The 27,706-nt window shown below is 44.3% G+C and overlaps 2 protein-coding genes across 23 annotated transcripts in view, besides 5 other annotated features; one reads left to right on the top strand and one right to left on the bottom strand.

The window, feature by feature from the left end:
* Window positions 1-984: 984 nt before the first annotated feature.
* On the bottom strand, window positions 985-12,590 carry AHSA1 (activator of HSP90 ATPase activity 1). Of its 2 annotated transcripts, none has more exons than NM_001321441.2 (9): window positions 12,475-12,590; window positions 10,651-10,841; window positions 8,215-8,297; window positions 7,698-7,815; window positions 5,771-5,859; window positions 4,790-4,918; window positions 2,273-2,374; window positions 1,949-2,000; window positions 985-1,380 (listed from the first exon to the last, which is right to left on the bottom strand). In NM_001321441.2, exons 4-9 carry the CDS (start codon window positions 7,762-7,764, stop codon window positions 1,208-1,210), a joined length of 612 nt encoding a protein of 203 aa, NP_001308370.1. In that variant the 5' UTR covers window positions 7,765-7,815; window positions 8,215-8,297; window positions 10,651-10,841; window positions 12,475-12,590; the 3' UTR covers window positions 985-1,207. The 2 variants fall into 2 exon arrangements, with proteins under 2 accessions (NP_001308370.1, NP_036243.1); NM_012111.3 differs by lacking the exon at window positions 12,475-12,590 and adding an exon at window positions 12,188-12,364.
* Window positions 12,013-12,535: an enhancer, noted in NCBI's record as "H3K27ac hESC enhancer chr14:77924265-77924787 (GRCh37/hg19 assembly coordinates)". NCBI's record gives its function as "activates a minimal SCP1, AML or CMV promoter by ChIP-STARR-seq in primed H9 embryonic stem cells {active_cell/tissue: H9 hESC(primed)}" and the evidence as "EXISTENCE:reporter gene assay evidence [ECO:0000049][PMID:30033119]".
* Window positions 12,108-12,287: an enhancer, noted in NCBI's record as "active region_8802". NCBI's record gives its function as "activates an Ori minimal core promoter by ATAC-STARR-seq in GM12878 lymphoblastoid cells {active_cell/tissue: GM12878}" and the evidence as "EXISTENCE:reporter gene assay evidence [ECO:0000049][PMID:35858748]".
* Window positions 12,458-12,917: an enhancer, noted in NCBI's record as "active region_8801". NCBI's record gives its function as "activates an Ori minimal core promoter by ATAC-STARR-seq in GM12878 lymphoblastoid cells {active_cell/tissue: GM12878}" and the evidence as "EXISTENCE:reporter gene assay evidence [ECO:0000049][PMID:35858748]".
* Window positions 12,458-13,058: a biological region, named in NCBI's record as "H3K27ac hESC enhancer GRCh37_chr14:77923742-77924264".
* Window positions 12,536-13,058: an enhancer, noted in NCBI's record as "H3K27ac hESC enhancer chr14:77923742-77924264 (GRCh37/hg19 assembly coordinates)". NCBI's record gives its function as "activates a minimal SCP1, AML or CMV promoter by ChIP-STARR-seq in primed H9 embryonic stem cells {active_cell/tissue: H9 hESC(primed)}" and the evidence as "EXISTENCE:reporter gene assay evidence [ECO:0000049][PMID:30033119]".
* Window positions 12,856-27,706, top strand: part of VIPAS39 (VPS33B interacting protein, apical-basolateral polarity regulator, spe-39 homolog) — a 30,927-nt gene continuing 16,076 nt past the window's right edge. For 7 of the 21 annotated variants that reach the window (NR_174476.1, NM_001400338.1, NM_001400339.1 and 4 more), the window contains exons 1-9: window positions 12,856-12,962; window positions 16,355-16,447; window positions 17,056-17,158; window positions 19,124-19,270; window positions 20,705-20,743; window positions 21,100-21,164; window positions 21,907-21,963; window positions 26,116-26,208; window positions 27,305-27,338. Coding sequence is in view for 20 of the 21 variants with exons in the window: in NM_001400338.1 (NP_001387267.1) it covers window positions 16,355-16,447; window positions 17,056-17,158; window positions 19,124-19,270; window positions 20,705-20,743; window positions 21,100-21,164; window positions 21,907-21,963; window positions 26,116-26,208; window positions 27,305-27,338 (631 nt within the window). In the remaining variant the exon portion in view is untranslated. Of the gene's footprint in view, window positions 13,363-16,354; window positions 16,448-17,055; window positions 17,159-19,123; window positions 19,271-20,704; window positions 20,744-21,099; window positions 21,165-21,906; window positions 21,964-26,115; window positions 26,209-27,304; window positions 27,339-27,706 lie in introns of all 21 variants that reach the window. The other 14 variants (NM_001400332.1, NM_022067.4, XM_017021581.3 and 11 more) reach the window with 11 other exon arrangements.

The raw sequence follows: 27,706 nt of genomic DNA, 5'->3' as shown, positions 1-27,706 counted from the left end.
TCAGTGCCCAGCAAACTTAATGGTACCACATATTGTTAAATAAAGACAACAATTTGCTGAGTATGGGCTCTGCAGTTACAGTCCTTGTTGCAAATCTCAACTCTGCTTGTTGGATCTGGGTGTTAAGAAATCCAAGGCTCACCTGTAGCAAATATGTTATGTAAAATACTTGTTTTTCAAGACAGTCTTATTCTGTCACCCAGGCTTGAGTACAGTGGTGCAATCTTGGCTCACACCTTCTGGGCTCAAGCAATTCTCGTGCCTCAGCCTCCTGAGTGGCTGGGATTACAGGCGTGTGCCACCTCATCAGTTAATTTTTGTATTTTTAGTAGAGATGGGGTTTCGCCATGTTGGCCAGGCTGGTCTTGAACTCCTGGCCTCAAGTGATCTACCTGCCTCAGCCTCCCAAAGTGCTGGGATTATAGACCTGAGCCACTGCGCCTGGCTATATGTAAAATACATGTATTTAAAAGCCAAGGCTTAATTAAGTTCTTGTAAAACAAATGACAACAGTACCTACTGCGTATTATAGAGATCAAATGAGTTAATGCAAGTAAACAGTGTAGTGTCTAGTACTCAGTAACTGCAATGTAACAGAAGCTGCCACAAGTTAGGAATCTCCCACCTTCCCATATCCCAAACCAGCATCTGGTGATCACTTATCTTTGCAAGAGGGTAAGAGGCCATGGGCAGTGCAAAGTGAGAAGTCAACTGCACTGGCAGTAGAGGCATAGTGTTAGCACTCCCTACCCAAGTACCAACCCTCCCCTACTGTTATGGGTAAAAAGGCAGAAACTATTTACTAGTAAGAAAGACTAGCTCAGGAATGCCTGGTAGTGAGAAGCAGGCTCTGTGCCTCTTAATTACCTACACTTACCCAGAATAGAGACAAGGCTGTCCACCCTGTCCTTCTTTTTTGAATTCAAAACCTTCAAGGGAGCTCTCAATACCAGCCACTCAATCAACATAGGTTCCAGACACGCATGTTTTTTAAATTATGTTTATTTAGCATATGTACACATAAAAGAGAAATTGCCCTCTGAACCCACCCAGCAGAAAACATGCACAAACCCAAGGTATATGTGGAAGGGAGGGGCCCCGGCCCCAAGTTAGCAGCTGGGACGATGCAATCCTGTGAGTCGCAAGCCCCAGTCAGGAGAGAGCTGGACTGAAGTGTCCAGCAGGCTGGAGTCCCCTGCCGCTGGCCCTAAAATAAGCGTGCGCCATAGCCAAAGGTCTGTTTAATGCCCTCAAAGTAGTACCGCTGCCAGCCCTGTCGCGTCCGCTCTTCCTCAGGAGCAGGGATGCCTCGACCTTCCATGCACAGCTCAGTCTCTCCGTTCTTGTCGATGAAGGTCAAGGTGATGGTGGCAAAGTGTCCTGGGAAAGGCAGAGGGGACGGAGGTTTCATATCTAGGTTTCCATCTGAGTTTAAGACTGGGGCAACCTGGCTGGGCGTGGTGGCTCACACCTGTAATCCCAGCACTTTGGCAGGCTGAGGTGGGCGGATCACCAGAGGTCAGGAGTTCCAGACCAGCCTGGCTAACATGGTGAAACTCCATCTCTACTAAAATTACGTGGGCGTGGTGGCATGCACCTGTAATCCCAGCACTTTGGGAGGCTGAGGCAGGAGGATCACTTGAGCCCAGGAGTTCGAGACTAGCCTGGACAATGTAGTAGGACCCCATCTCTACAAAAAAAGTAAAAAAGTAAAAAAAAAAAAAAAAAAAAAAAAGCTGGCATGGTGGCACACGTAGTCTCAGCTACTTGGGAAGCTGAAGCAGGAGGATCGTTTGGGTCTGGGAGGTTAAGGCTGCAGTTTGCTGTGATTATGCCACTGCACTCTAGCCTGAGTGACAGTGAGACCCTGTTTCCAAAAAAAAAAAAAAAAAAATTACAGCAAAGAGAAAAAGTTCTGGGGGTAATGGCAATAAATATGTTTACTTACCCTCTGGCCAAGATTTAAACCTCCACTTCATCACAATATGTTTCTCAGGGACCTAAAATAATCAAACAGCTCAGTCTATATTATATACTACAATGTACCCAATCCTAGCTAGGATCAGTCATCTGCCCTTCATACGGAGTCTACCATCTGTGCAATTATATTACTTGCAAGACAGTTCAAATCACAGCCTTTTTTTGAAAAACAAAATGTTTTATTAACAAAGAGATTAAAGCCTTACATTTTACCTATAGAGTTCAGAAAAAGAGAAATGTCACTCATCTGACCAGAGGCAATAACCTGAGTCTAGGGCCGGCAGGTACTCACCAGATCAGTAAATTCCCCAGAGACGTTGCCATCTACCATGTGGAACTTTCCACCTCTGTCTGCTTCTAATGTTGCAGGAGCATGGGTAAAGGCCTGCACCAGCTGCAGGGAAAAAAAAAAAAAAAAAAAAAAAGAGGCAGAAGATACATGGCTTTCAGTGGGACCCAAGGACAAATGCCAGCTGAAGGCTGCATGCCTCAACTCTCATTTCCACCAGTCTGCCCCACAGGCGGGTCCAGGGTGTCCCTCTATTCTGTTTTAATACCAGCCAGGACTTGACTTCGGGAATTCTTTCTGATCTGATGATGCCATTACTTTGGACCCGTTTACTTTTATTTATTTGAAATTGTATATGGTTCAGAAAGATATAAGAATGAGCTTATGAAAGAAAATTCTCAAGTAAATGTTTGAGACTTCTATTATCATTTCTGAGAACATGTCCCAAAATAGATCTATTCCATCTTTTATTTTATTTTATTTTTTTATTTATTGAGACGGAGTCTCACTTTGTTGCCCAGGCTGGAGTGCAGTGGCGCGATCTCGGCTCACGCAACCTCCGCCCGTCCAGGTTTTAAGCAATTCTCTGCTTCAGCCTCTGTAGTAGCTGGGATTACAGGCGCATGCCACCATGCCTGGCTAACTTTTTGTATTTTTTAGTAGAGATGGGGTTTCACCATCTTGGCCAGGCTGGTCTTGAACTCCTGACCTCGTGATCCACCCACCTTGGCCTCCCAAAGTGCTGGGATTACAGGCGTGAGCCACCGCGCCCAGCCCTTTTATTTTTTTTGAGATAGGTCTCGCTCTGTTGCCCAGGCCGAAGTGCAGTGGCATGATCATGGCTCACTGCAGCCCCGACCTCCTAAGCTTAGGTGATCCTCCCACCTCAGCCTCCTGAGGAGCTGGGACTACAGGCGCATACCACCATACCTGGCTAATTTTTGTATTTTTTGTAGAGACAGGGCTTCACCATGTTGGCCAGGCTGGTCTCAAACTCCTGGGCTCAAGTAATTCACCCGCCTCAGCCCCTCAAAGTGCTGGGATTAGAGATGTAAGCCACTGTGCCTGGCCTACTCCATATATATGAAATCAGTATCATTTTGCTGTGTTCGATTACCCAACGGTGCCGCTTTTACTTTTAATAAGACTTTACTATTTTTTAAAGTAGGTAATACGAATACATGGTACAAAATTAAAAATAAACAGAAGGTTAAAAATGTTAGGAATCCTCCCATACAAAAGTATTTTAAAACTCTGAAAACTTTAGCTAGTTTGGAAGCAGAGATTCAACTGAAGTCTGTGTTGAAGTGCTAAATTCAATTCACATGAAGACCACAGCTATGCTGCTAAGTCCTTCAAGGCAGCAGGCACCAAGTAGAACCAAGTTAGCCATCGAATGCAGTCTTTGGCATAGCCAGGTCATAACACATCTCTGGAGTCAACTAAGATAACTTTCTGAAGTACAGTACAATTTTGTTTATACACATCTTTTTAAATTTCTAGAAAACCCAGTCCATTTAATTGCTTCTCCAGTTCTTGGTTTTCTAAGGGGGAGAGAACTTATCACGAGAGTATTTTGGGTGCAGGCGCACAGACATACTAACACCCATATACTACATGGTACCTCTTAATTTATGGCTGTATTTACATTTTTGTTTAAAAAATAAGATCTTGAAATTTTGTCCCAGAGTATATGGGAACTTCCACATATCCTAACCACCTTTACTATCAGATAATAAAGCTGAATACGGTCATGTTTCTCAACTCCACACTATAGCAGCAGAATGGCACAAGTCAGCTGTGCAACACAAAGAAGCCAGGAATTCTTCTGTGCTACAGAGTAACCAAGAATGGCCATTCACTTTTCTAGTAAGATTCACTCAGTGGTTTCTACTTATATGACCCAAAACTGGAACAGGCACGGTAGTGTGCACCTGTAGTCCCAGCTACTCAGGAGGCTGAGGAAGGAGGATCGCTTGAGCCCAGAAGTTCAACGTTAGTCTGGGCAACATAGCAAGACCAGGTCTTTTGTTTTTAAAATAAATAAATATGGCCGAGCACAGTGGTTTGCACCTGTAATCCCAGCACTTTGGGAGGCTGAGGCAGGCAGATCACTTGAGGTCAGGAGTTTCAGACCAGCCCATCTCTACTAAAAAATATGGTGAAACCCCATCTCTACTAAAAAACATAAAAATTAGCTAGGCGTGATGGCGTGTGCCTATAGTACCAGCTGTTCAGGACGCTGAGGCAGGAGAATTGCTGGAACCTGGGAGGCAGAGGTTGCAGTGAGCTGAGATTGTGCCACTGCACTCCAGCCTGGGCAGGTGACAGAGCGAGACTCCGTCTCAAAAAAAAAAAAAGAGAATAGAGGGAGGGAAAAATTCACTTTGATGAAGGCCTCATGGCTCCAGTTGTGAGTTTGTGAGTACCTCTTCTGTACACTGCTGAAGGGATATGCCCCCAACTCAAGTCACCTAGAAGGGCAGATGGCATGAGGCCTGAAGGACAAGACTTACTTACCTCTTGGGTGGTAAACACTCTATAGAGCTCCTCTGGTGACGTCAGGAAGGTTTCCTTAAGAGTGATCTTACAAGTGGGGATTTTGACTCCAACAGGTCTGGCCTGGGTTTTTGAAGGAGCAGGCTTAGCCTGTGAAGGTGGCAGTGAAAATGATCAATACAGAGTAATGATACAACCTCAATCAACGTGGCTTCAGAGACAGTTGTACCATTCATTCTCATAAAAATGTTCACCTCCAAGGGTAATTATTCCAAGGGGTTTGAAGGGAATTTGAGTGTGTAGGTGTTTCAGTCATGAGGGTAATGATTCTGGAAACCTCCTCAATTCCCAGTAAAAATAACCACTCTACAAGGAAGACCCTGATAGTCAAATAACAAATCAAATCATTGAGATATTTTTGAAGAGCTCAGTGTAATTCTCAAACAATTTCTATGTTTAAATAGCTGGAAGCGGTTTTCTCCCCACTTCCAGAGTATCCACTTCACTATGCTGACAAAAGAGCAACAGGGCTCTAAACCAAGTGCTGAGCTTGAACCACAAACTTCCATCTCTAGATAAAGTACTTGCTCACCCTGAAAATTGGGGAGATTGGGTGAAGACAGGGATGTAACTCCATTTCTTGATGGGACCTCTAATATCAAAGTATGAAATATCAACACACCAATTAGACTGAAGACTTATATAGGTGAAGTCCATCCTTTGTTCATAACCTCCTAACTGGTGCTAAATGCAATCAAGAGTCAGACTTTTAACTGTCTGATAGCTCCTACTTGCTCTAAAGGTCTGCGATAAATGAATTAAAACCAGGTTAAAGATGGGTGAATGAATGCATATTGCAGGCGCTCTGAAAAAGCACCATGAGCAGATCGCAGGCTGGTCTGGCTTAGAGGTTAGGGACACAGAGAGCTGATATGTGGAATTAAGAAGGCGGTCTCTCAAGTTCCTTTGCAGACAGTCTCCCACCCCAGGAAAACCATTTACCTTGCGCTCCTCAGTTTTCAGTGCTGGCTGCCCCACTGGGTCTACTGACTCTCCATTCATTGTAGGTAAGATCATGCCCTGGGTGAACTCTGAAAAGATAAAATTCCAGCTCATGGAAGTTACTTCTTAGTAGCTGAGATCTGGAGTTTCATTACAGCTTGACAAACACAGCCATCCTACCACAGAATGAGGTTATGACCAGAAAAGGAAGAGGCTATTTTTACATCTTTACTTTTGGCCTATGCCAGACTGGTACCTGGGTATATGCTATAGAATACAGTATGTTCACTGGGATTATTATTATTTTTTTTTTGAGATGGAGTCTTGCTCTGTCACCAGGCTGGAGTGCAGCCTGCACTCCAACTCACTGCAACCTCTGACTCCCTGGTTCAAGCTATTCTCCTGCCTCAGCCTCCTGAGTAGCTCGGATTATAGGCGTGCACCACCATGCCCAGCTAATTTTTGTATTTTTAGTAGAGACGGGGTTTCACCATGTTGGCCAGGATGGTCTTGATCTCCTGACCTTGTGATCTACTAGCCTCGGCCTCCAAAAGTGCTGGGATTACAGGTGTGAGCCACTGCACCTGGCCACTGGGATTATTTTTAAAAGCTTATCCTGACTCAACTGGAAACATTATAACATATTAAGTGCATGTGAGGTCTACTATGGAAGGATGGCGTGAACGCCGTGGCACTTTGATGACTTCAAGAGTGGGTAATCTACCCAGCACCTATGGATGCATGGTTAGTGCCTTTCCTCCACTCTGCCTTACCTCTGCAGAAAAGCCACAACTAGTTATGGCACTGGTGTACTGGTCCTCCCCAAAAAGGTGTCTATCACCTTCCATCACCTTCTTTGATGGTTATTATACATATTCCAACACCAAGATCAGAATACACTGGCAGAAATGGAATCCCAGGGGAAAGCTGAGCTGACTTCTATTCTAAGCATCTAAATATCCCTGGAGAGTGCATATCAAAGATAGTCCAGACTGTATTCAAGTAATGAGTCCAGAGATGCCAAGTCTTTAGATTAGCGCTGTCCATTAGAAATATAATGTGAGCCTCAAATACAGTTTTTTTTTTGTTTTTTTTTTTTTTGAGATGGAGTCTCCCTCTGTCACCCAGGCTGGAGTGCAATGGCGCGTTCTTGGCTCACCGCAACCTTTACCTCCTGGGTTCAAGCAATTCTCCTGCCTCAGCCTCTTGAGTAGCTGGGATTACAAGCATGCACCACCATGCCCGGCTAATTTTGTATTTTTAGTAGAGATGGGGTTTCTCTATTGGTCAGGCTGGTCTCGAACTCCCGACCTCAGGTGATCCGCCCACCTCGGCTTCCCAAAGGGCTGGGATTATAGGTGTGAGCCACTGTGCCCAGCCCGTAGTGTAATTTATACTCACAGCACATCTCTTGTGTTTTTTGGTCATCCAGGCTGGAGTGCAGTGGCATGATCTCAGCTCAATGCAACCTCCCTGCCTCCTGGGCTCAAGCCACTCTCCCACCTCAGCCTCCCGAGTAGCTGGGATTACAGGCATGGGCCACCGCATCCAGCTAATTTTTGTATTTTTTGTAGAGACAGGGTTTCGCCATGTTGCCCAGGCTGGTCTCAAATTCCTGAGCTCAGGCAATCAGCCCACCTCAGCATCCAACAGTGCTGGGATTACAAGTGTGAGCCACCGCGCCAGGCCATCACAGTACATTTCAGTTTGGTCTAGCCACATCTAAAATGCTCAACCATCATTATTAGGCAACACAGCTCCAGATCTTTCCCTTACTCCGAGCTTATGGACTGACTTTAAGATGAAATAAGCCCCCTCCCCCCAAATCTTTACCCATTTGCCAAAGAAAGGACTGTCCAGGCCCTTAACCAGAGTCTAACAGGTGGAAACTACCTCCTTAAGGCATACAGAACTACTCAAGGGATACCTGTTTTGAGGGTGCTGATGTAAATTCCCATTGCTTCTCTTAGAAGTTTCACCCCTTCTTCCTTCATTAAGGCCACGAGATTTGTGTCAGGCTCATCTTTGGCAAGGCTCACACTAATCTGGGTGAAAGATGAGAAGTAGGTGGTAAATAACTTGAGGGGCACCCTCATTATGGAATGTGGGGGCTGAGCAATCAGGTGACTGCTGACATTTCCAAAGGAAATGCATGAGTACTGCGGTATTCGTACAATCCCCATTAGTGTTCCTTCTTGAGTCCTCTCTGTCAAGTGGCTAATGTTAGTTAGAACCCATGTCACTAGCTAAAGTGAAGAAATTAAAGAAGTGCAAATTGCTCTAGAAGTTTCCAATGGCACCATATGCCTAGAAAATTATCTGCAGGCTAGGGTTCTGAATGCTTGGACCAAGCCTGGGCTATGAATCCTGAATGACAGGTCACTTTTCTCATCTGAGAATAAGAGGATATAGAGGACTCGGATTAGGAGTTATGAAGCACAAACCTCCACTTCATCCACGCTGTTTTCATCAGACAAATTGGGGATCTCCACATGTCCTTTGTATTGTACTCCTGACTTAGAAGTACCTGTCAAAACCAATGCAATGTCATTAGTCCACTCCTTGGCAGGAAAGGTCTCTGCTCCAGGGTCCTAACTGCTACCTCACTTCTGCTGCTTTTGGATGGCTGAACTGATCCTCTTTATTCTGAGAATGCCACATGCCAGATGCAATCAACACCCGCACCCCCAAAAGAAATGTCTTTCCTCACCAGGTTACTGGAAACCAACTATGTTATTACAATGTGAGACAAAGAGCTACAGATTTGGTACTAGCATGAGTTATACCATGAGAACTTGGGTCAAAAGCCAGTAGTTCTGCTAGAATACTTGTTTTGAAAATATCAATTTATTTCAGTGCAACTGAAATATTAGGGAACAATTTGATTATAATGAGAAGTTCATGTTTGCTTATATGTGACTCCATCCATGAGAAACACTAGGTGAATACGGAAAGCCTCACCCAGCTACACAGGATACATAAAACACACACATCTCAAACACCTATCTGCCAATGACCTCAGTTTACAGCGTGTGTTGTGAGCCATACCCATCCTCAACGAGTGTAATGTTCCCTCTGATTGTGGATGACTCTCCTTCTACCATTCCATAGTAGTCCTCAAGCTGCAACCCTTCTGATGCCCACCTTTTCCCCCCGCAAGACAGAGTCTTGCTCTGTCGCTCAGGCTGGATTGCAGTGGCATGATCTTGGCTCATTGCAACCTCCACCTCCCAGGTTCAAGCAATTCTTCTGCTTCAGCCTCCCAAGTAGCTGGGATTACAGGTGCGTGCCACTACACACGGCTAATTTTTGTATTTTTTAGTAGAGATGGGGTTTCACCATGTTGGCCAGGTGTGTCTCCAATTCCTGACCTCGTGATCCACCTGCCTCAGTCTCCCAAAGTGCTGAGATTACAGGCGTGAGCCGCCGCGCCTGGCTTTGATGCCCACTTTCACAAATAAACTTCAGGTCTTTTTCATGGTAAAGCACCATATTTATTGTAGTATTCACCTATTTTTTATTTTTTTTGAGATGGAGTCTCACTCTGTTGCCCAGGCTGGAGTGCAACGGTGCGATCCCAGCTCACTGCAACCTCCGCCTCCTGGGTTCAAGCGATTCTCCTGCCTCAGCCTCCCGAGTAGCTGGGACTACAGGCACATGCCACCACGCCGGGCTAATTTTTTGTATTTTTAGTAGAGACGGGGTTTCACTGTGTCAGCCAGGATGGTCTTGATCTCCTGACCTCGTGATCCGCCCACCTTGGCCTCCCAAAGTGCTGGGATTACAGGCGTTAGCCACCACGCCCGGCCTATATTTATCTATTTCTTACCATTTAATGTGCACAAAACTATGCTACCAATTTTTAGTCCCTATATTAAAAAAAAAAAGCGTCGGCCAGACACAGTTCGAGACCAGCCTGGCCAACATGGTGAAACCCATCTCTAATAAAAATACAAAATTAGCCGGGCGTGGTGGCGGGCACCTGTAATCCTACTTGGGAGGCTGAGGCAGGAGAACTGGTTAAACCCGGGAAGTGGAGGTTGCAGTGAGCCAAGATCGTGCCACTGCACTCCAGCCTGGGTGACGAGCAAAACTCTGTCTAAAAAAAAAAAAAGGAGGTCTGAGCAAGATGACACCGAAGATTCCTTCCACACTACTATGCTTCGAGTGTACTTTAAAAACAAATTAACAAAAATCATGGACAGATAGATCTACTTGCACCCTTCTTTATGATATGACTGTTCACTTCGGAAATGTTTATCAAAGCACAAATTTCATGCTTTGCCCCATACACAGACAGTAGCTATCTCATACTCCCTTAGCTTTAGTGCCTTTTTACATTCAGGCTCCCGACAGTCAGGACTGTCCAAAACGGTCATACGCATGACCTCAATTTTTTCCTAATGTCATACACAAGGGACATAAAACTAGAAGATAGATAAAACAGCCCCAAATTACTGTCACACACAAGCTTCATTAGCGCAGTGGTTTAATCTGTTAAGATTCACACTGAAGACAGTGCACAAAGATCAAGACCAAAAAAATCCTCTCCTTCCTCCTTTTAAATCACTCACAAGATACATGTAGCTAGTCTGAAGAAATATCATCGTAGGTGTCCCAACAAAGACCAAGGCCCAAAGATGCAGTGGCCCGGCCACTTCATGGATGGGACTTATGAGACCCAGACACAGGAAATCCATTTAGCATCCCACAATGGCAAAGAAATTCCAGGACTCGATACTGCTTTACATAGGACTCCAAAGCAGCAACATCTGCCTTCTCCCTTCAAGGTCTGTAACTCCTCAAAACTGTTCTCTCCAGCTACTTAACAGGTTAAACAAAACACAGTTAATCTCTCTGACAGCCCAGCTTAGACTTACCTGTCCAGTTTAGTTTGACGCTCCATTCATAAAAGAAGATAAGTTTCCCTTTGCGATTGTTAATGGATGCCTCTCCATCAAGCTTACTCACTTCCGTCACCTCACACTTGCCTTCTTCATTTTGAACCTGCACTGCCAGGAACAGTGTTTTCAGCTTATCCGTGGACCAATTTGAAGCATCTCTCTCCGTCCTGCAAAGCAGAAACAGAGCTATGAACCAGCAGTCAAACGGAGGATACGCTGCTCTATGCAAGAGAATACGAGGTTAAAGGAGGCCTGACAAATAGTTTGAAAAGAACACAAAAACTCCCAGTCGCACTCCAGTATGTCCACAAACATGTCATTCTTTTTTAGGAAGACAAGGGGTTGCACACTGTCAACAAAGACAGCTGCTGTAGAAAATGGTATAAACTCAATGGAAAATTATGCTCTCCTTTCTCGGCATGATGGTGCGGGGGAATACTTGATACTTTAACATGGCGCCCCCATTTGACCAAGTGGAAAACTGCACATATTGCTGAGATCAGGAACACAGACTGGACCATGAAAGAATAGTACTTAGCTAAAAGGCCCAGAAAGGATTAAACCAATAACCCTGACCTCATTGGCACGGTGTTCTGACCTATCAGATTCGCACTTGCATTATAAACTTCCTACACATTCACTGTCCCCTAGATGGCCACAAAAACGTTAAGTCCAGGGCTTCAAAACAAACAACAAAAATTAGGTCAAGTACTCTGCATGTTAAGAAGAGAGAATACAAAGTGAGATATGGAAAAGAAACATCACTATCTGCCTTCCTACTTATCAACTATTAGAGAAAACAACAGCAAAAAAGGCTGCAACAAAGTAACGGTACAATACAAACATTACGAAAAAAGTTCAGTGGAATTCAAAAATAAGGAAACTAATATTACTTTGGGAAGATTTCATGAAGGAGGGCAGTTATTTTAAGAACGGTCAGGTTATAAAACCACGGCTGCTCGGCAACCTGGAGTTCCAACACACCCGACCTGATAGTTCCGGGTGAGAGGCCGCAGCTATCTGAGCTCTGAGCACCTGCACAACACGTTCTCAATCTCCCGCGGGACCGCTGCAGCGGTCCCCTATGAATGACTTTTAATTTTACCGCAGGCCGCAAAATAGGAATTACAGACCCCTGGCCTTAGGCCTTTCACAGCTATCTCCCAACACAATCAAAGGAGGTTCCAGTCTCAGTGACTCCTCTGGCCACGTGTAATAAGCACCTCCCTGCTCGGGCTGGATGCAGCAGCCAGGGCGTTATCTCCTAGTCTCTCTGACAACCCTCCTCTGGGGCGCAGCCCTCCACGTCCATCTCCCTCCCCTCAAACACTGAGAAGGTGACCGCGGAGTGGAGAGGCCTGGGGCTACGGACCCCTGCCACAGGAAGGACCCACCCCCATCTCCGGACAGGGCTACCTCAGCCCCAGCTCTGTCCGGGCCGAGGTTCTAGGAACCCTGAAACCCTGGCCCGGCCGCAGGTCTCCCAAGGCCGGCCTGCTTTTCTGGCCCTCACCAGTGCCAGTTGTTGACGTTGGTGGCGTCCGCCCGCTCCTCCACGATCCAGCGTGGGTCTCCCTCACCCCACTTGGCCATCGGCTCTCCTATCGCGGCGCCACCAGCTCCGGAGCAGCCGTAGCCACAGCCTCAGGACCGCTTAGTGCCAGCCGCCCGGCAGCGCCTGGAAACTACTAGAAGCGGCCGCAAGCACCTCCTGGCTTGCTTTTCCCTCCACCCCCTCCCCTCCTTAACTTCCGGCTCCTCCCCACTCCCACCGGTTACTTCCGTCCCAACTCGCCGCACCGTGGGTTCCGCCTGATTTAGAGATCCTTCAGACTCCATCGGGTTCTCCCCAAAAAGCGTCCCGAAACCCAACTGCTCATACAACCATTCCTCACCCATAGGAAAACAAAGAACACGTCTCATTGCTTCCCTGGACCCTAAATCGCCCTTGCTGAGCCTCATGGGAATTGTAGTCTTGCTACGTGACTCGCTGGATAACCGCGGAAGGTCTCGCGGAAAGGAGAGGAAATGACCTAGCACGGTGCTTGGGGTTTCTGGGGGCTGTAGTCAAGAAGCCTTGTGGTTCGTCGGGACAGCGCCTGACAGCAGAGGCAGAAGAAACTACGACTTCCAGCATGCCCTGCGGTCTCGTTATTCGTGTTTTCTCTCCGCCCTACGATTATTCCCTTCCGCCCCCTTCTCTAAGCTGCACAGCCTGAATAGAAGGGCTGGTCCAGCGGCGGCGGAGGCTGGCGCTGTCCTGAGAGGGAGGGCTCTGTGCGGAAGAGGTGAGGGTGTCCCAAGCCCCTTGGGTCGCGTATCTGGCTGGATCCAGCCTCTCCGCATCTTGATCTTTTCCCCTCTTCTAGGAGGCATCCCTACACCCTATGACTACAGGCCTGATTCTCTTCTTTCAGTCAGGGCGACCCTTGGGCGCTGGAGTACGCTTGGGACTGGGGCTGCGAGTGAGCACCAGCGATTGGTTCGGAAGCGGACATTTGGTTCAGAACGAGCATTTAACTCTGCCAGGGATCCGCTGGGCTCTGACGACTGCGGTAGATCCATGGCTTCCTGGACGTTCACCCGTAGAGTCATCCTAGCTTAACTCTTGTTCCCTGGTCTCAGTTCACAAGCCTCACCTGTATCTTCCTGGCTCGGAAGATAATTGAAACCAAGTCTGACTTCTCAGTAGGTGGTTTTTGGAGTTTTCTGAGGCAGGGAGCATGTTGTGGTTTTCTTGCTGATTCTTCTGTTTTCCTTTGTAAAGTTCCTGTTCTCCCCTGAGGTCTCTCACCCTGCCTTGTGGGCTGTCAGTAAACAAGAGACGATAAAGACAAACCTCTGAAGTATTTTAAATCATGTTGAAGCACCTGTCACTCTTAAGAGTGACAATCGTACCTGATTACTTTATAACTCTAGAGCCACTAGATCATTATCTATACTTGCCAAGTAAACCTAGCTTCTCATTTGGCGTTATAAATACAAATTGATGGCAGTTGTCTACTGCCATTGCATGGTTAAAAAGATTCCAGAAATCCTCTGGTAGATTATTGTGTTTGTTAGACACATTCTATGTCTATCTGTAGATAATTACTATAGTGAAGGAATGATCTCTAGTTTTCTGGAAAGTGAAAAATAGGTAGAAGGACCATGCAAGACACTAGAAATGGTCTAGGAGCCAGAAAGCCTGGATTGTAATTTGAAATAGGAGCATTTAACAAAGTGGCTTTGATACTGAACTCTTTTGTGCCTCACTTTCCCCATGAGTAACATGGAAATGGAATCTCCCAGGCCTACCTTACAAGATTGTTCTGAGGATCAAACGAATGACAGAGTGATTTATGAACTGACATGTGTGCCAGAGACATTTATATGTTCTATACACATCTTCAGCATTTGTGGCTACTCAGAATTTTTGTATTTTTTTTAATCTTTAGGATTGCTAAAAAATATTTTCTTTTTTAGCTTTTCCCAAGGTACCAGGATGATGTATTAATAATAAAAGTTACTATTGAGTGTTAATTTTGGGTCAGGCACTAAGCACTTTACATGTATTAACTGGTTTACTCCTCAGAACCATTTCTAAGGTAGGTCATCTGTTATGCCCATTTAACAGACGGGAAAACCAAGACAGAAAAATGTCAGTATGATATTCCATATTAAAAGGAAATAACATTTAGTATTTACTTTCTGCTAGACACTTTTATAGATGTTCCCTGCAACCCTGTGAGATAGGATATAATTTTCTCCAAGGCTTAGAAGTAAAGTCATTTATCCACTTTGCTCAGAATTAAGAGAAACCAGGATTTGAACTCAAGGTTGCCTGACTACAATGTCTGTGTGGGATGATTTCATGGTGTCTGCCAGCATTTTTGGTTTATCTCCCTAAAATTAAATACAGAAAAGGATTTTTAAACAACCCTGTACCAGTAGAAATCAATTAGTGATGTCTGCCGTGAGAAGGGACCAGATAGTAGAAAATCCCCACAATACCCTTGCTATCCCTATATCCCCTGAGTTGAAAACAAAGTCAGGAAGTAACAGTAGAGTATCTTTAAGGGCTATCAAAAGCCTCAACAGGACTACCATGACAAGGCTTTTCTCAAGCTTTTATTGATGAAGGTGCTATTAAAAGGAAAAGCAAATGGTTCTTTTAGAACTTGATGCTGTTTAGCCTTTACAGTTATTTTTGGTGCTGTGGGAGTTTTATACCCAGTCCTTGGCTTAAATCATAGTTTTCATTCTAATCCTGTTGGCATTGATAGTTTACTTTGTAATTCTGTTTCCTTATTTGGAGATAGGGAGGGTCTCACTGTGTCACCCAGGCTGGAGTGCAGTGGTGTAATCTCAGCTCATAGCAGCCTCGACGTCCCAAGCTCAGGTGATCCTCCCACCTTAGCCTCCCAAGCAGCTGGGACTACGTCACCATGTCCAGCTAGTTTTTTGTTTTGTTTTTTAAATTTTTTTGTAGAGACAGTTTTACAATGTTGCCCAGGCTAGTCTTGAACTTGGGCTCAGGTGATCCTCCCACCTCAGTCTCCCAAAGTGCTGAGATTACAGATATGAGCCACTGTGCCCTGCCTAGTTTGTAATTCTAGGGCAAAACTTGTTTTTGCAGGGCAAAATTGAATTTTATAGTAGTTATAACAGGGACTTGTGGTCTTTTGACTACTTCTTTATATACTTGCTTTTCTTGGCCATCCCCTCATTTCTCAAATTTTGGCCAACAGTTGTTAATAAAATAGTCATAATTTGAAGATTTAGGTGAGATAATTCTGCTTCTTTTAATTGCTTTGCTTTCCGTTCTTTCAGGCATTTAAAAAGCATACATGAGGGTGGAATATTTGTTCATTCACTGTAGTATTCCCAGAGCCTAGAACAGTGCCTCAGAGATGGTGCTCAATAAGTATTTGTTGAAAATGTGAATGCAATTTTTGTCTGTTTTGTGCATGTTCTGATTGCTCTTCCTTGTGTATTCAGCAAAGTTTTTTGATAGATTCTTATAACATTTGCCTGCCTTGCACTGTTGCTTTTAATACATACCTATGCTGAATGCCCTAGCTCTGTTGTAGGGTCCCCACGTCTGACACTTTTTTTTTTTTTTTTTGGAGACGGAGTTTCGCTCTTGTTGCCCAGGCTGGAGTGCAATGGTGCGATCTCTGCTCACCGCAACCTCTGCCTCCTGGGTTCAAGCGATTCTCCTGCCTCAGCCTCCTGAGTAGCTGGGATTACAGGCATGCGCCACCATGCCCGGCTAATTTTGTATTTTTAGTAGAGACGGGGTTTCTCCATGTTGGTCAGGCTGGTCTCGAACTCCTGACCTCAGGTGTTCTGCCTGCCTCGGCCTCCCAAAGTGCTGGGATTAAAGGCCTGAGCCACTGCACCCAGCCTCTGGCACTTTTTTATATACCTTACAACACCTGAGAGAGTGCCCTGGACAAAGTGGATGCTCTTAAGAATGGATGACTACTTATGGGTAATTAGAAGATTAGAAGTATGATTTGATCAGTTGGAGACCCAAGAATCTGGTTTTATATGGCAGGTTCAATATTTGTTTTACCAGATTCTTTTCTGCATCCTTGATTTTTGGGATCAGTTAGTGGTGCAGGAAACTAAAGCTTTTGGAACTCTTTAGGGAGAGACCCAGAAAGGGGCAATGTATGTTTTCCTGTCACTGTAGATGAATCGGACAAAGGGTGATGAGGAGGAGTATTGGAACAGCTCCAAGTTCAAGGCTTTTACCTTTGACGATGAAGACGATGAGCTTTCACAGGTAGGTCAACTGCTGAAGTTTGTACTCTTCTCCACAGTGCCACTATAAAATTCCTTCCTCTTGCATTCTGGGTAACTAGGCTTTTGACCATGTATGTCTTCATTAGGCTCAGAAAAGAGCCAGAAGGATTGTAAAATCCAGCTCACTGCCTTTCTTACTTTACCTTTTTAAGATGATTTATTCCTACAGGTTTTTTTTTCTTTTGAAGAACCCCAAGTCTTTTATTTATGTGATATATATTTTTTTATTTTTGAAAGATGAACTGGATTGGAAGATTTATCTTTGTTGTGTCTATTTTGCAATTGAGGAATCATTTATTTTTAGAGAGGTGAATAAATTCACTCAGGTTTACATAGCAAGTCACTGCCAGGAATATGATGAGAATTCAAAAGTGACTTTGATTCCTCCTAACTCTTTTATCACTGGACTGTAGTGTTGGCTAAAAATCAGTTTGTTTTCTTGGCAAATATGTAGTATGCTAGGCTTTCGATTGCACAGGGCGAGTGTTGGCCACCTTCAGGCCCCAATTCCTCAGCCTTCTTGATTGTCAGAAGAGAGGTGGGAAATGATGATTTGCCTGAGCACCCTAGCCTTGTGTCCCTCTGCAGTTAAAGGAGTCCAAGCGGGCGGTGAACAGCCTCCGAGACTTCGTGGATGATGATGACGATGATGACCTGGAGCGAGTCAGCTGGAGTGGGGAACCTGTGGGAAGTAAGTAGAAGAGTCCCTAGGCAGGGATAGATGTTGAGGATTCTTATCACTGATAAAGGCTCTACTTGTTTGTTTCTTCAATGCTAGTTAGGAGAGGGACTAGGATAAGACTATTTTCAGATAAGCATACATCTGGAAACTTAACTCCAGGAGAAGATACTTGGGAAATCCAGCAGGAGTTCCCACATGGCTATATAGGTCTGCTCTTCAGGGGTTGACTCTTAGCTGGCTATTTCATTCTCATTTGGGGTGCTTGTTAAAATGACATACTCCTAGGCTTTATCCCAGAGATTCTGTTCATTAGGTCTTCTGCGGAGTAGAGGGGGTCTCAAATTTTAATAAACACTGCAGGTGATTCTGATATATAGCCATATTTGGGAACTACTGACTTGACTCAGTATACTAATAACTGATTGACAGAACGGACTTCCTTACCCACCAAGTCTCACTGCTTAGCTGTATATGATACCACTTAATACTTTTTCAGAGTCCATTTGATTTTTTTTTTTTTTTTTTTTTGAGATGGAGTCTTACTCTGTTGCCTAGTCTGGAGTGCAATGGCGCGATCCTGACTCACTGCAACCTCCGCCTCCCAGGTTCAAGCGATTCTCATGCTTCAGCCTCCCTAGTAGCTGGGATTAAAGGTGCCAACCACCATGCCTGGCTAATTTTTGTATTTTTAGTAGAGATGGAGTTTTACCATGTTGGCCAGGCTGGTCTTGAACTGCTGACCTCAAGTGATCCGCCTGCCTTGGCCTCCCAAATGCTGGGATTATAGGTATGAGCCACCATCCCTGGTCCCCATCTGATTTTTAAGAAATATTTTTAATTGAAAGTTTTTAAAAAATAGGCCATACTATAATGTGACTAAAGATTAAAAAAAAAAAATTAAAGGTCTACAGTGAAAAGTTTCCGTTCCATATTGTTATGTATCTTCTCAGTTTTCAGTTCATGTCCTCCCAAAAAACAATCGTTGCTTGGTTCCTGTGTATTCATCTAAAGACTCTTTTTGCATCTGGAAAAGTATATAGAAACATGTATTCTTATCCCATTTTTACACAAGCAGTAGCATGCTTCATACCTTGCTCTTTTTATGTGTTAATATAGCTTGGAGATCTTTCCATGTCAGTATATAAAGAGTGTTCTCATTTTCTCTTTCTTTTTTTTAAATAGCAGCATAGTATTAAATTGTATGGGTTTACCATCATTTTTTAGCCAGCCCACTGTTGAATTTTAGATTTTTCAATCTTTTGCTCTTTATATTTCTATCATTGACTTTATATTCTGACCATAGATGCATAAATGAAAGAGCAATTCTTAGAGTGGAATTACTCACATAGGATGTTTGCATCTGTATTGGGTAGATATTGCCAAATTGACCTCCACAGGGGTTGTACCAATTCATACTACCACCAGCAATGGAGGAGGGTTCCAGTTTCCCTATAGCCTGGCTAACACGGTATTATCAAGCTTTTGGATCTTTCCCCATCTTATAGGGGACTAATGGTTTCTCATTATATTTTTAATTTGTAGTACTCTTAGCAAAGCTGGGGGCAGGTGGTGTGTGCCTCTGGAGGGTAGTGGCGATGGATGGCTTGAGGCCAGGAGTTGAGGCTGACGTGAGACATGACTGTTAGATATGATTGTGAATAGCCACTGTACTCCAGAGCTCCGGCAATGTAGTGAGACCCTGTCTCTAAAAAAAAAGAAAAAAAGAGAAAAAAGAGTAAGGTTGAGCATCTTTTCATATGTTGAAGAGCCATTTGAATTTTCTGTGATCCACCTATTCATGTCCTTGGTCCATTTTTCTGCTGATTAGTCTATTTGATTCTATCTTTTCTCCCTGCCCCAAGTTGGCCAAGGGACCAGGGCTTCTGGTGAAAAGCTTTTAGAGTTTATTGAATGTTGGATGTCAAGGCTTTATTGTGGATGAGAATTGCTGATGTAGTTCTTACTATCTCACAGGTATCTCATGGTCCATCAGAGAGACTGCTGGTAATAGCGGCTCAACCCACGAGGGGCGTGAACAGCTAAAGAGCCGAAACAGCTTCTCCTCCTATGCACAACTACCCAAGCCTACTTCTACCTACTCCCTGAGCAGCTTTTTTAGAGGTAAAGAGAGATGCTTAAATGGATAGGGAAGTCCTTCTCTTTTTCCAGAAAAATCTTAGGCCATAATTTTCATTTACTTTGTAAGAAAAAGATTATTGAAGGGTAAAGCATTCTCATTGGAGGTGGCAGCTGGGTGTTAGGAGCGAGATAAATGAGAGAAATTCAGAGGAGTTGGACTGGTTTTCTATAGCATGATGAATGAAATTGACATTAACCCTGTGACTGGTACTGAAAAAATTTGCCTAGATCAAAATTCCTCCCTACTCCTTGTGCATTGCTGTTGGAAAACCTTGTTGGTGGGAATGCCAAATGGTGCAGCCACCGTGGAAGACAGTATGGTGGTTTTTTAAAAAAAATTAAACAGTAAACATATAACTGGCTAGGCGTGGTGGCTCACGCCTGTAATCCCAGCACTTTTGGGAGGCTGAGGCAGGTGGATCACCTGAGGTCAAGAGTTCTAGACCAGCCTACCAATATGGTGAAACCCCGTCTCTACTAAAAATACAAAAATTAGCCGGGCATGGTGGGGGCTTCTGTAATCCCAGCTGCTCAGGAGGCTGAGGGAGGCAGATTGCTAGAACCTGGGAGGCAAAGGTTGTAGTGAACCGAGATTGCACTACTGCAGTCTAGCCTGGGTGACAGAGCAAAACTCCATCTCAATAAATAAATAAATAACATATGATCTAGCAATTTTACTTCTGGGTATATCTCAAAAAGAATGGAAAGCAGGTACTTGAACATATATTTGTACCTCCATGTTGATAGTAGCATTATTCACAATAGCCAAAAGATGGAAACAACCCAAATGTCCATTGATGGATGAATGGATAAACAAAATGTGCCATATACATGCAGCGGAATGTTACTCAGCATTAAAGAAGAACGACATTCCCATACATGCTGCCATATGGATGATCCTTGAGGATGTGATACTAAATAAAATGAGGCACAAAGGGACAAATATTGTATGACTCCATTTACGTATGACCTAGAATAGTCAGATTCATAGAGACAGGAAGTAGAATGGTGGTTACCAAGAGCTGGGGTGGAGGGAATGGAGAGTTATTGTTTAAAGGGTGTAGAGTTGGTTAAAGGGTAGAGAGTCTCAGTTTGGGATGATGAAAAAGTTCTGGAGATGGATAGTGGTGATGGTTGTACAACAGTGTGAATGTACTTAATGCTACTGACTTATACACTTAAAAATGGTTAAAATGGTAAATTTTGTTATGTATATTTTACCATAATTAAAAAAAATTTTCTCCCTGCTCCATTTTTTAATGGCACTTCAGATTTCTACAGATGAATAAAACCTTTTTTAAGCCTTAAGTTCCTATATTGCGTTATTGAGTTGGTTACACATTGTGTCTTTAACCAAGCCTGGATGGCTCTGATTGAAACTGTTGACCTTTTCCCTCTTGTGTTCTTTACCTTTAGGTAGAACTAGACCTGGAAGTTTCCAGTCCCTTTCTGATGGTAGGCATTGAACCCTCTTTTAATTGCTGTGGGAAATGTTACTGATCTGGTACAGTCTGGGGAGTTATGGGGACAGGTAGTAATTAGATGACAAGATGAACTTTCTTCTGCATCTACTGTCATTATTAGAGGAATTTTCTGATACTGACTAAGGAGGTAGAAATCATTCTAGCTACAGGGGCAAAGGTGACTTCTAGGGATGCTGTCTTTGGGGAAGAACGGAGATCTGCTTTTGGCCATAAAGTTAACATTGGGAGCCCACAAGTCAAAAAAATGTGAGAACGAAGAAGTAGAGGGAAGGAATGACAAGCAGGATTCATGGTGCCCTTCTGAACCAGCTGCTTATTCTTTTTCAGCTCTGTCAGACACACCTGCCAAAAGCTATGCTCCAGAGCTGGGGAGACCCAAAGGGGAGTATAGGGTGAGTTACAGCATACACTGGTGTGACACTTTCCACAGTATAAAGTACCTTGACATATGTTACCTGGCTTGATTTTCCCAACTATTTGAGTAGATATTTTTTTAACCCTGTTTTATAGATTAGAAAACTGGGTTTCTAAACATGAGGGCTTACCTGGGGTCTCAGAGCTGGGAAAGGGTGCAACTTAGACTTATAATCTCTATATTCTGACTCAGCTCTGCCATACTTTGCTTACTCATTATGCTCCCACTTGAAGGCTGTACTTTGAAACCCAGTGATCATCACTGCAGTCTGGAAGCCTGGTAGAGCTCATATTCCCATGAAACAAATAAAGCAAATTGATTCATAAGGAAGAAACCATATCCTAAGGTCGGAAAAGGAACATGTCTCCAACATCTCTCTCTTTCCTTCTGTTGGCCAAAGGCATTAATTGTTAGAATCCTAAAACGTGATTCTAATTCATCTAGAGGTTGCAGTCCTGAACTGGTAGGCATGGGGCTACTGGCTTTGTCAATTGGCTCCTCCCTCTTTGATCCATCTCCTCCTATCTATATTGCCCCTGCTCTAGTTCCTTCAGAAACTCAAAACAAAACCGTCCCATTTCTTCATTTTTTTCACATCCATTCCCTCCCACAAATTATTTCCCCCTTAGACACTAAGACTGAGTTTGAGTTGAGGAGCGGGTATGCTGATAAATTTGATTCCTTAACTTCCTGGGATTCACGTATTGCTAATATTCCAGGATTACAGCAATGACTGGAGCCCCAGTGATACAGTGCGACGTCTCCGGAAGGGCAAGGTAAGGACAGAGAATTTTTGTGAGGTTCTTTGGGAAGCTGGGCAGCTTGTTCACACAGGGAAGATTTCTTGACCTCTCTTCAGTTCTCATTTGTTCAATGAATTTCAGGGGGAAAATAAATCCACTAAGGTTGAAAGTCAGTGGCAAAATTTCTGATTCTCCATTACTGTTGCTTTGATGGGGTAGTGGGGAAAGAGTGATGGATGAGAGGGAAAAGTACATTTAAGAGTGAGAGGCCAGGGCCAGGGGTGGTGGCTCACGCCTGTAATCCCAGCACTTTGGGAGGCCGAGGAGGGTGGATCACGAGGTCAAGAGATCAAGACCATCCTGGCCAACATGGTGAAACCCCATCTGTACTAAAAATATAAAAAATTAGCCGGGTGTGGTGGCAGGCACCTGTAGTCCCAGCTACTCGGGAGGCTGAGGCAGGAGAATCACTTGAACCCAGGAGGTGGAGGTTGCAGTGAGCTGAGATTGCACCACTGCATTTCAGCCTGGTGAGTGAGACTCCGTCTCAAAAAAAAAAAAGAGAAGCCGGGCATGGTGGCTCACGCCTGTAATCCCAGCACTTTGGGAGGCCAAGGCAGGCAGATCACCTGAGGTCAGGAGTTCTAGACCAGCCTGGCCAACATGGTGAAACCCCATCTCTACTAAAAATACAAAAAATTAGGCGGGCGTGGTGGCGTGCACCTGTAATCCCAGCTACTCGGGAGGCTGAGGCAGGAGAATCACTTGAATCTGGGAAGTGGAGGTTGTAGTGAGCTGAGATCGTGCCACTGCACTCCAGCCTGGGCAACAAGAGTGAAACTCCGCCCCCCTGCCCAAAAAAAGAGAGTGAGAACAATCTTTTATGTTAGATCTGTGATTCATTGAGTTCATTTTTGCATATGGTGTGATGTAAGGGTTTGAGTTTAATTGTTTTCCCCATGTAGATCTCCATTTGTTCCAGCACTATTTGTTGAAAAAACTATCCTTTCCCCATTGAATTATCCTGCTGATGCTTTTGTTGAAAATCGGGCCAGTCACAGTGGCTCATGCCTGTAATCCCAGAACTTGGGGAGGCCAAGGTGGGAGGATCTGTCGAGCCCAGGAGTTCAAGACTAGGCTGGGCAACATAGTGAGACCGTGTCTCTACAAATGATAAAAAAAAAAAAATTAGCCAGGTGTGCGGCCGGGCACGGTGGTTCATGCCTGTAATCCCAGCACTTTGGAAGGCCAAGACAGGCAGATCACCTGAGGTTGGGAGTTTAAGACCAGCCTGACCAACATGGAGAAACCCCGTCTCTACTAAAAATACAAAATTAGCTGGGCGTGGTGGCACATGCCTGTAAATCACAGCTTCTCAGGAGGCTGAGGCAAGAGAATCGTTTGAACCTGGTGGCCGAGATTGTGCAATTGCACTCCAGCCTGGGCAACAAGAGCGGAACTCCATCTTAAAAAAAAAAAAGCCAGGTGTGGCTAATTTATAATATAAATGTATATTATAATTTATAATTATAAATATATAAATGTAACTTATAATCTTATAGCAGGATATGTTTTTAGTCACAGTTGCTTGAGAGGCTGAGATGGAAGGATTGCTTGAGCCCTGAAGGTCGAGGCTGCAATGAGCCGAGATTGTGCCACTCCATTCCAGCTTAGGCAACAGAGCAAGACCCTGTCTCAAGAAGAAAAAAATAAGAAGAAAATTAATGATCATATATGTGTAGGCCTATTTCTGGACTCTTTATTCTAGTTCATTGGATTATTTATCCTTAAGCTAATACTACAGTCTTGATTATTATATAAATGTTGAAATCAAGATACTTCAACTTTGTTGAAGCTTTCAACCTTCAATGTTGTTCTCTTCCAAAATTGTTTTGGCTGTTCTAGATCCTTTATACTTCCATATCGATTTTAGTAGCACCTTGGCAGTGTCTACAAAAGAGTTGTTGAGATTTTTATTGGGATTGCCTTGAATGTACAGATCAATTTTGGTAGAATTGGCAATGATCATAATAATTAATGGATCAAAATGGATCATAATGCCAGGTGTGGTGGCTTGTGCCTATAATCCTAGCTACTCAGGAGGCTGAGGCAGGAAGATCAGTTGAGCCCTGGAGGCTGAGGCTGCAGTGAGCTGTGATTGCATCACTGCACTCCAACCTGGGCGAGAGAGCGAGACCCTCTCTCTAAAAAAAAAGCAGATAAAATGGATTATACTTCACAGGTTCTAAGGATTGGGAATGAAAAAATGAATAAATAAAATGGATCATAGACCTAAATGTAAATTAATTGTTAAAGCTATAAAACTTCTAGAAGAAAATATAGACGAAAATCTTTATGATCTTGACTTAGGCAAAGATTTATTACCTAGGACACAAAAAGCATGAACCATAAATGAAAAAATTGATAAAATGGACTTCATCAAAATTTAAAACTTTTATTTTTTTTTTAGAAACCACTGTTAAAGCCATGAAAGGACCACCATAGCTCAGAGAAAGTAGTTTCAAAACACGTATATTATAAAGGACTTTCATCCAGAATATATATAAAACTTTTTTTTTTTTTTTTTGAGATGGAGTCTCCTTCTGTCGCCCGGGCTGGAGTGCAGTGGTGCGATCTCAGCTCACTGCAACCTACGCCTCCCAGGTTCAAGTGATTCTCCTGCTTCAGCCTCCTGAGTAGCTGGAATTAACAGGTGTGTGCCACCATGCCTGGCTAATTTTTGTATTTTTAGTAGAGAGGAGGTTTCACCATGTTGGCCAGACTGGTCTCAAACTCCTGACCTCAGGTGATCTGCCTGCCTTGGCCTCCCAAAGTGCTGGGATTATATGCGTGAGCCACTGTACTTGGCCAGAATATATATAAAACTTTTATTAAACCTGGCAATATAGCAAGACCCCATCTCTACAAAATAAAAATTAGCCAGGTGTGATGGCACTTACCTATGGTCCCAGCTACTCAGGAGGCTTGAGGTGGGAGGATTGCTTGAGCCCAGGAAGTCGAGGCTGCACTGAGCCATGATCATGCCACTGCACTCCAGCCTGGGCAATACAGTGAGACCCTGTCTCAGATAAAACAACAACAACAACAAAACTCTTAGCTTAGTGATAAGTACAGTCTGATAAAAAAATTGGCACAAGAGTTGACCAGACACATCACAAAAGAAGATACATGAATGACCAATAATCACTTTAAAAGATACTTAAAATTATAGTTATCAAGAAAATGTGAGTTGAAACTATGAGATACTGGCTGGGCATGGTGGCTCACGCCTGTAATCCCAGCACCTTGGGAGGCTGAGGCAGGTGGATCACGGGGTCAGGAGATCAAGACCATCCTGGCTAACATGGTGAAACCCTGTCTCTACTAAAAATACAAAAAAATTAGCCGGGTGTGGTGGCAGGTGCCCATAGTCCCAGCTACTCGGGAGGCTGAGGCAGGAGAATGGTGTGAACCCGGGAAGCGGGGCTTGCAGTGAGCCAAGATTGCGCCACTGCACTCCAACCTGGGCGACAGAGCGAGACTCCGTCTCAAAAAAAAAAAAATCACTGAACTATATACTTAAATAGGGTATGTTTTACTGTATGCAAATTATGAATAAGGGTTCTTAAAAAAGAACAAGTGATTGGCTGGGCGCGGTGGCTCATGCCTGTAATCCCAGCACTTTGGGAGGCTGAGGTGGGTGGATGACGAGGTCAGGAGATCGAGACCATCCTGGCTAACACAGTGAAACCCCGTCTCTACTAAAAATTAAATTACTAAAAAAAAATTAGCCGGGCATGGTGGCGGGCACCTCTAGTCCCAGCTACTTAGGACGCTGAGGCAGGAGAATGGTGTGAACCTGGGAGGCGGAGCTTGCAGTGAGCCGAGATTGAGCCACTGCACTCCAGCCTGGGTGACAGAGCAAGACTCCGTCTCAAAAAGAACAAGTGATTTCTGTTGACTTTATCAAGACTTCAGGACATTAGCATCTTATAGGGCAGCAGGCTGAACTAGAGAGGGTGGTGGGAGCCAACTGTTTTATAAGTGCTGGGGACCATAGGGTAAAAATAAAGAGACTCTCCTTGGGGACATTTTGTTTCATTATTGCTTATTCTTTAGTATCCAGCAACAAAGGAATAAAGAAAACTGTCTTCTTGTGTACTAATTCTAGTGTTATTCTGCCAGGTTTGCTCACTAGAGAGATTCCGCTCCTTACAGGACAAACTACAACTCCTAGAAGAGGCAGTAAGCATGCATGATGGAAACGTCATTACTGCAGTGAGTTGTCGGATTTGTTGTTGTTTGTTTAATTATTGTTTTCACTAGTTTCTGAAAATCCAATCAAATAGACTAACATTTTGTGTTAAATGTTAAGTAAAGATCCTGGATTCCCCTTGGAGGTGTAGGATTCTAAGTAATCTGTGCTTTAAGGGCTTAGCTGGTGCCACATGCACTAAGCGTGGAACCCTGTTTTTTTTTTTTTTTGGAGACAGGGTCTTGCTCTGTTGCCCAGGTTGAAGTGCAGTGGTGTGATGATGGCTCGCTGTAGCCTCGACCTCCTGAGCTTAAGTGATCCTCTCACCTCAGGTCCCCGAGTAGCTGGGACCACAGGTGCATACCACCATTCCTGGCTAGTTTTTTTTTTTTTTTTTTTGAGATGGAGTCTCACTCTGTCGCCCAGGCTAGTGTGCAGTAGGACAATCTTGGCTCACTGTGTGATACTCCTGCCTCAGCCTCCCAAGTAGTTGGGATTACAGGCGTGGGCCACCATGCCCAGCTAATTTTTGTATTTTTAGTAGATATGGGGTTTCACTACATTGGCTGGGCTGGTCTCAAACTCCTGACCTCAGGTGATCCACCAGCCTCGGCCTCCCAAAGAGCTGGGATTATAGGCGTGAGCTACCACGCTTGGCCTTGCCTGGCTAATTTTTAAATTTTTTTGTAGAGACAGGGTCTTGCTATGTTGCCCAAGCTGATCTCACACTCCTGGGCTCAAGTAATCTCCCTGCCTTAGCCTCCCAAAGTGTTGGAATTATGGGCATGAGTCACCATGCCCAGCCTATGTGAAACCGTTGATTGTAACCAAGACACACAAGGTTGGCTACTATGTGTTATATAAAACAATCTGAGGGAGAAGAGATGTGAGCGTATCCTCTTTCAGAGGGAGGTGTCTCTCAGCAGCATGGGCACGGGTGTGTGGACTCTCAAGACACAGCTCAGTTCCAGATAGCCATTGGCTTTCCTTGCATCACATACAGAGCTGTTGGCTATACCTTCAGAGATTGCTAATGAGTTGCTGGCCCCGTGTCTGTAGTGCTCAGGGCATGACTCTGTGTTGGAAAGTTTGCACAGTCTTTGTTCTTTTTTCCTGTAGGTTCTGATTTTCCTGAAGAGGACACTGAGCAAAGGTGAGAATGGCTTGCAGGAAATCTTCAGTCAGCAAGGTGTCTGCCACATTCGAGGGGAGAATGCCATGTGCCTTTCATACCAGAATTCATTAGTCAAGTCTATTTCAGAGACAAGTGGGGTGGCCTGAGACTTCAGAGCACAAATCACATCTCTGAGGGCGTCCTTTAGGGTGATGACTACATTAACCACAGAGCCCCCTCAGATGGCTGTGTTGGTTTGAAGAAGTCAGAGTCCATGCTAAGTGCCTGCTGTTTGGGTTGGTGTGAAATGAAAAGCTGATTTAATGGCTATGAGCTGAGTGTGTTGATGGTGAATTAAGACATAGGGGTAAACCATTCTTAGCTTTTGTTAGGGTTTGATGAGATAA

Source organism: Homo sapiens, chromosome 14 (genome assembly GCF_000001405.40).
Source record: "Homo sapiens chromosome 14, GRCh38.p14 Primary Assembly".
In the NCBI taxonomy this organism is placed as follows: Eukaryota; Metazoa; Chordata; class Mammalia; order Primates; family Hominidae; genus Homo; species Homo sapiens.
Note: the sequence above shows the minus strand (reverse complement) of the source record. Positions and strands in the feature narration are given on the sequence as shown.